The sequence below is a fragment of the Homo sapiens genome, chromosome 21 (genome assembly GCF_000001405.40).
Source record: "Homo sapiens chromosome 21, GRCh38.p14 Primary Assembly".
In the NCBI taxonomy this organism is placed as follows: Eukaryota; Metazoa; Chordata; class Mammalia; order Primates; family Hominidae; genus Homo; species Homo sapiens.
Window position 1 is genome coordinate 37,290,366 of NC_000021.9, and position 7,299 is coordinate 37,297,664.

The 7,299-nt window shown below is 44.5% G+C and overlaps 1 long non-coding RNA gene across 1 annotated transcript; it reads left to right on the forward strand.

Annotated features, from left to right (window-relative positions):
* The first annotated feature begins 3,295 nt into the window (after positions 1–3,295).
* On the forward strand, positions 3,296–6,167 carry LOC124905018 (uncharacterized). Its single transcript, XR_007067860.1, has 2 exons — positions 3,296–4,743; positions 5,708–6,167. It is a non-coding gene; the product is annotated as an uncharacterized LOC124905018 (long non-coding RNA).
* Positions 6,168–7,299: the final 1,132 nt, after the last annotated feature.

The window sequence follows — 7,299 nt, forward strand, 5'->3', positions numbered from 1 at the left end:
ATCGTTTTGGCAAAGGAGCCCTCTCTGCCTGCCACTTGCAAGCAAATTTGAGTGATAAGCTGGTAATTTGGGGCCTTGCTGGACTGAAAAACCCAATGGCTTCTGTATTCCAAGTAAAGGTTTTACCGAGGTCTCAATGTTTTGCAAAGGGCTTTACATGTCCAATTCTCTGCTAGACATTGAGAGCCAGTCCAGAGGCAAACATGTTGGGGAAGGTAACTTTTCTTTCAGTTCGTGGGTTTCCAGCCTACAAAGAGCCCTTCTAGACTTATGGAGAGCTCTGAACACCACCCCAGGGTGCAGGACTTGGAGCTGGAGGAAGTGCATTGGTGGGACTCTGAAGTTGTTGCCCTTGGTAAGGCTATGAATATGTACCACGTGTGGGAGGAGAGATGTGTATGGATATCAGGCGGCTAAGAGGGCAAGCTGTGGCAGTTTGCTTTTCTCCTCCTCTTCTATAGCAGAATCCTGGCATGTCTTGAATGAGTTATGTGTGTATTCAGATACTGGGGTCCTCAATTTCCAGGGCAGACAAGTAAGCCCTGGAACAGCGTCGAGCCTCTGGCCACGATCAGCTTTGTCCTTTCGCCCCAGTGTACTGTTATAAGGAAATGGTTGGGGCATTATGAAGTTAAGGTGAGCATAGTCTACACATGCTCACCCTCACTCCTGAGAACAATTAAAAGTATGGGGGATTCCGGCCGGGCGCGGTGGCTCATGCCTGTAATCCCAGCACTTTGGGAGGCCGAGGCAGGTAGATCACGAGGTCAGGAGATCGAGACCATCCTGGCTAACACGGTGAAACCCCATCTCTACTAAAAATAGAAAAAATTAGCCGGGCATGGTAGCAGGCGTCTGTAGTCCCAGCTACTAGGGAGGATGAGGCAGGAGAATGGCATGAACCTGGGAGGCGGAGCTTGCAGTGAGCCGAGACCACGCCACTGGACTCCAGCCTGGACAACGGAGCAAGACTCCGTCTCAAAAAAAAAAAAAAGTATGGGGGATTCCCAAAACCACTCTCAGTTTTGATAATTCACTAGAAAGACTCACAGAACTCTCTGAAACCTGGTGTACTTATGGTTACAGTTTATTACAGCAAAAGGATACAGATTAAAATCAGCCGAGGGGGCTGGGCGCGGTGGCTCATGCCTGTAATCCCAGCACTTTGGGAGGCCGAGGCTGGCGGATCACGAGGTCAGGAGTTCGAGACCAGCCTGACCAACATGGTGAAACCTCGTCTCTACTAAAAATACAAAAATTAGTCAGGCGTGGTGTTGCGCATCTGTAATCCCAGCTACTTAGGTGTCTGAGGCAGGAGAATCGCTTGAACCCAGGAGGTGGAGGTTGCAGTGAGCCAAGATCCTGCTACTTCACTCCAGCCTGGGTGACAGAGCGAGACTCCATCTCAAAAAAGAAAAAAAAAGAGAAGAAGAACATAGGGTAGAGTCCAGGAAAGAACCCATCACAGAGCTTCCATTGTTTTCTCCCTGGGAAGCCATGGATAGTGCCACTTTCCTGGCATTAACGTGGACAACACACATGGAGTTTGCCCACCAGGGAAGCCCACCCAAGCTTAGAGTTTTTATTGGGGTTCCATTGTGTAGTAATGATTGATTTCCCATGTGGTTGATCGCAGCCTCCAGCCCCTCTGGATGTTGAACTAATACGACGTGACCCCAACCCCCTCCCTAAATCACACTGTTAGACTTCCTGGTGTGGCCAGCTCCCAATCTAAACAAAGATACTCCTATCGAGCATGATTTTCCAAGGGCTGAGAGATTACCTACCAGAAGCTGAAGGCAAAGGATGGACCTCTCTTTGGGCAAGGTCAAATTCTTTATTACCCAGATGCATTGTTCTACAATAATGGAACCTCAATTTCTAACTGAGCACAAAGCAGCCACAATCAAGAATCCCAACCTCTGCCAGAATTCCAGCCTTTTGTGCATCTACTTACATCCCATTGTAACCATGTGACTAAATTCTAGTCAATGGGATGTAAGTGGGGGTTGTATTTGCCACTTCTGGGAAGTGTCCTTAAATAGAGGGGCCTTCTTTTCCTCTGCCTTCTGTCTTTTTGCTTCCTATACGGGACTTGAGGAGCCTTCTTGGCCCATAGGTAATGCTTAGGGGTGCAACAAGGTGGAAAGAGCCTGGGTTCCTGTTGATTGAGGCACCCTTTATACCTGCACCAGGCTGCTTGGAGAAACCACTTCTATCATGTTTAAGCTGCTGTCATTTTGGGTTTTCTGCCATTTGCAGCCAGATATAGTCTCAACACCTTGCTTGAAACTTACATTTATATTGGTTACATCCAGATTTGTAAAACTCTGCTCATCAAATTGACGATCTCATCTTTAATCCAGCTCACACTCATGCTGCCAAATTGTAGCCTGTCACTGGAACACTAGACAGGGTACTGGACAGTTGCTTCTCTGGAACACTGGCCTTTATTCCCAAGCCTTCATCACATTCAGAAGGGACTGTTTTCTTTTTCTTTTTCTTAAGAAACTCACAGTCTACCTTTTCCAAGTAAATAATCATCACACTTTCTGTGGCTAACCAGTTGGAGATTTGACTGAACACCTAAACTTTACTAATGTTATATCTAAACTTTAAGTGAATTTTTGCTACACCTTTAAAAAACTGACTAAAAGATATTTTTTAAATCAAAACGAACATTTACAGATCTTTCCAAGACCTGATATTTGAATTTTGTTCATATTTTATCAAAGTGGGCCAGAGTTTCCTATGTGCAATGGCTTGGCATCGTGCCTAGAGAAAGCAGGATAAACACTGAATCTCTGCCTTTTATTTTTTGTTTTTGGTGTCTTGCCATCCTTTGTTCTTCATAAAGACCTTATGGTAGCTTTTATGAATATCTCTAAGAAATTAATCTTTAAAATATAGAAGGTGGACAAAAAACCCTTTGCACATTGTGAAGACAGGGATTTTATCCTTCGTTCATTGAAGAGCAGCAAGATATTGGGACTTGGATATGGTGCAACCTCTGTCATCACCTTTCCTGTTTGTAGTCTTGGGATTGGAGGTTGAAAGAGAATGGAAGAAATGGCACTAGAACCCCAAATTCCATTTCTTTCTTTCTTCTTTTTTTTTTTTTTTTTTTGAGACAGAGTCTTGCTCTGTCGCCCAGGCTGGAGTGCAGTGGTGCGATCTAGGCTCACTGCAACCTCTGCCTCCCGGGTTCACACCATTCTCCTGCCTCAGCCTCCTGAGTAGCTGGGACTACAGGCACCCGCCACTACACCCAGTTAATTTTTTGTATTTTTAATAGAGAAGGGGTTTCACCGTGTTAGCCAGGATAGTCTTGATCTCCTGACCTCGTGATCCACCTGCCTCGGCCTCCCAAAGTGCTGGGATTACACACGTGAGCCACTGCACCCAGCCCAAAAGTTCCATTTCTAATTTGCCTACCTTAATGACTTGATTTTCTTATTTTCATAGTAAATAGGAATATGTATGTTGAAGAAATATGAACATTAATTTTCTCATAACTGCACAGTCAAAAACAATGTTTTAAACTTTAATAAATATCAATGACTTGTTTCATACTTTGCTCCATTACAAACACAAGGAAAGAAAAGATGTACAATGCCTGAGGAATAGAAACACCATCAATCCTCAACAGGGTCACCTAACTGTCATTATGAAGCAAGGGACTCTTGCCAGAGATTTGTGTCCTCAGTGAAAAAGGCCTCATGGAATTTTCTTGCTAAAAGGAACCTGAGACTTATTGACACACGCGTCCTCCTTTTCCAGACGAAACACTCAAGGCTTAGGGAAGTCAAAGTGTACAGAAGGTCCCCGCTAATTAGCAACAAAGCCAGACTCAGCACCCAGGTTGTTCTCGCTCCTGGATCAGGGTTATTTGTGAACATCCCATGTCCTCTTTATGATGGTTACAGATGTTTCATATCATCAAGGTTAAGATGAAAGATCTCAGAAGCTGCAGAAGTGCTTAGATGCACCCACAGAAAACCACCGGATCCAGCTAACTCACTCTTGTGATTGGAAAGAAGCATATTCTGGTGAAGCAAAAGATTTCTATCTCCAGAATAATGCAGAAAGCATTTTTACCTACCAAGCCACAACAAACCAGTGAAAGAACATTTAGATTTCCAGAGTCCATCGGCAATACAAAAGTCACCTAAAGAATAATGCCAGAGGCATATCTTCTCTTGTAGGTTGTAAATTCCTTGAAAACGAGAACTGCTCAACTTCCCATCTCCTACGACACCCAGCACACAGTTGATGCTGGAATTTCTTTTTAATGAATGAAACACACAAATCATTGCTTTAAACCCTGGAATTGTGCCCTTTTCAAAAGAAGCACTTAATAGACATGTGTCTAATTTCCTGTGCTGTCACAAATATTATTTAATCACACTGTTAAAAATAAAGAACTCTGGGGCCCATGAACTACATTCTCCAGGCCATTAGCTGCTCTTTCCACTTTGGGCCTCTCAGCTGTGCAGCCGGAAATGGATCGTGGGGAGAGGAGCTGCCACTCTTCTGCAAATATCCTGGAATCTTGGCTATGTCAGGAAGTGTTTGGAGAATGCCTTGGAAGCTGAGAAAGTGTTTCCAAAGCAGCATGCACACGAAGATATTTGAACCAGAGAACGTCCACTCTGAAATAGATGCATGGAGTGCATTCACAGAATATCACGTTTTTCTGAAGTTTAAAAGCTACAGCCCAGTACTCTGAACCCAAGAATTAAGGTAAGTGTAAAAAGTGAGTGCCTCAGATAGTTGTTATGTTTGCAACAGGTCACTTGGTTTTACATCAATCTCATGGTAAAATACATATAAAGTCGTTATGAAGCTCATAGGCATATTATAATGGTTCCCTGGTAAATGACACTAGCATGTTGCATAAACAACTATATCTTTTAGGCTGGGCGTGGTGGCTCATACCTGTAATCCCAACACTTTGGGAGGCCGAGGCTGGTGGATCACCTGACATCAGGAGTTGGAGACCAGCCTGGCCAATGTGGTGAAATCTCGTCTCTACTAGTGGCAGAGATTAGAGGCAGGAGCCACTGAGCCCGGCCTCTTTTAATTGCTTTTTTTTAAAAAACGGCTTTATTGGCTGGGCGCAGTGGCTCACACCTGTAATCCCAGCATTTTGGGAGGCCAAGGTGGGCGGATCACCTAAGGTCAGGAGTTCGAGACCAGCCTGACCAACATGGTGAAACCCCGTCTCTACTAAAAATAGAAAAATTAGCTGGGTGTGGTGGCACATGCCTGTAATCTCAGCTACTCGGGAGGCTGAGGCAGGAGAATCGCTTGAACCCAGGAAGCAGAGGTTGTAGTAAGCCGAGATCATGCCATTGCACTCCAGGCTGGGCAACAAGAGAGAAACTCCATCTCAAAAACAAACAAGCAAGCAAACAAAAAAACCCCAACAAAACAAACAAACAGAAAAAACTATATCTTTTAAAAATGATAGTCAATGATTTTTCACTGAAAAATAGGTATTATTCATTAAAATCTAAGAATACAAACCAGCCACAGTAAGAAAACTGTCCTCTCCTCTTTGCCAGCAGCCTACACAATTGAGATGCTGTGCAGTTTTCCCCTCAGCTCGTAACACTGAAACAGCAAGAAATTGTCTAAGGTTAGAATTTCTAGTCATAGGAAACTTCCAGCGATGCCAATGTAAAAACATTTTGTTTCATTTCAGAGAGTTAAGAGAGCAAATCAAGACATGAAAATGATCCCCCCGTGGAATATGCCCCTGCTATTGAGAGAATAAACTACTGATCTACGCAACAGCATGGATGAATCTCAGAGACATTTTGCTAACTGAGAGAAGTCAGACACAGAAGACATAGTCAATGATTCCATGTGTATGAAATTTCTAGAAAAGGCAAAACTATAGAGACAGAATGGCTGATCAATGTTGTGGCTGATCAAATCGAGGCACAGAATGATCAATGGTTGCCTGGAGCTGCGGGTGGGAACAGGAGTGACCTCAAAGGAGCAAGGGGAACTTTTGGGGGTGGATGGGAATATTGGGAAACTGGACTGTGATGGTTGCTAAGTGCGTCAGTTCACGGAAACCTATCACACTGTACCCTCACAATGAGTGACGTTTATGGTTTGTAAGTTAGACCTCAATAAAGCTGTTTGTAATCATTTTATTTATTCTTTTTTTTTTTTTTTGAGACAAAGTCTCACTCCATCACCCAGGCTGGAGTGCAATGGCACGATCTCGGCTCACTGCAACCTCCGCCTCCAAGGTTCAAGCGATTCTCATGCCTCAGCCTCCCAAGTAGCTGAGATTACAGGCGTGTGCCACCACACTCAGCTAATTTTTTTGTATTTTTCGTAGAGACGGGGTTTCACCATATTGGTCAGGCTGGTCTCAAACTCCTGACCTCAGGTGATCCGCCCACCTTGGCCTCCCAAAATGCTGGGATTACAGGTATGAGCCACTGCGCCCAGCCAATAAAGCCATTTTTAAAAAAAAGCAATTAAAAGAGGCCGGGCGCAGTGGCTCGTGCCTGTAATCCCAGCACTTTGGGAGGCCAAGGCAGGCAGATCACCTGAGGTCAGGAGTTCAAGACTAGCCTGGCCAACATGGTGAAATCCCGTCTCTACGAAAAATACAAAAATTAGCCAGGCATGGTGGCAGGCACCTGTAATCCCAGCTGCTTAGGAGGCTGAGGCTGGAGAATCGCTTGAACCCAGGAGGCGGAGGTTGCAGTGAGCAGAGATCGCACCATTGCACTCCAGCCTGGGTGACGAGCGAAACTCCATCTCAAAAAATAAAACAAACAAACAAAAAAAAAAACAAAAGGCAATTAAAAGAAAGGATTCTTTCAAGGCCAGTGCAAAACTGCTTTGCAGAAACAGGTGACCTCCCTTGTAATATTCATGGTAGCCATCACACTTCCCAAGTGTGGGACACTTTGTCCTGAGCAGGGGTTCTCTGAGGTGCACATCCAGATGCTGTCACACCAAACCCGGCTTGGTGATCTTTCAAACTCCAGAATTTACAATTTCTAAACATAATGATTATGATATTAGTCAACTCATAGAGTCCAAGAACATGAATACATGGAACTGAGCAAAACAAACAGCATTTCCCTAATGTCGGGGGATGGTGGTATGACTGGGAGCCAAAGAGAGCTTTGTGGGCTTTTGCTGAACTACGCAGCTGTTCGGGGCAGCTCCTGGAACGAGGAAAGGTATTTCGGGTATAGACTGAAATACCTTCACTAACAACTGTGGAATGCTGGCTATACACATCACCATCACTGCAGAAATGTG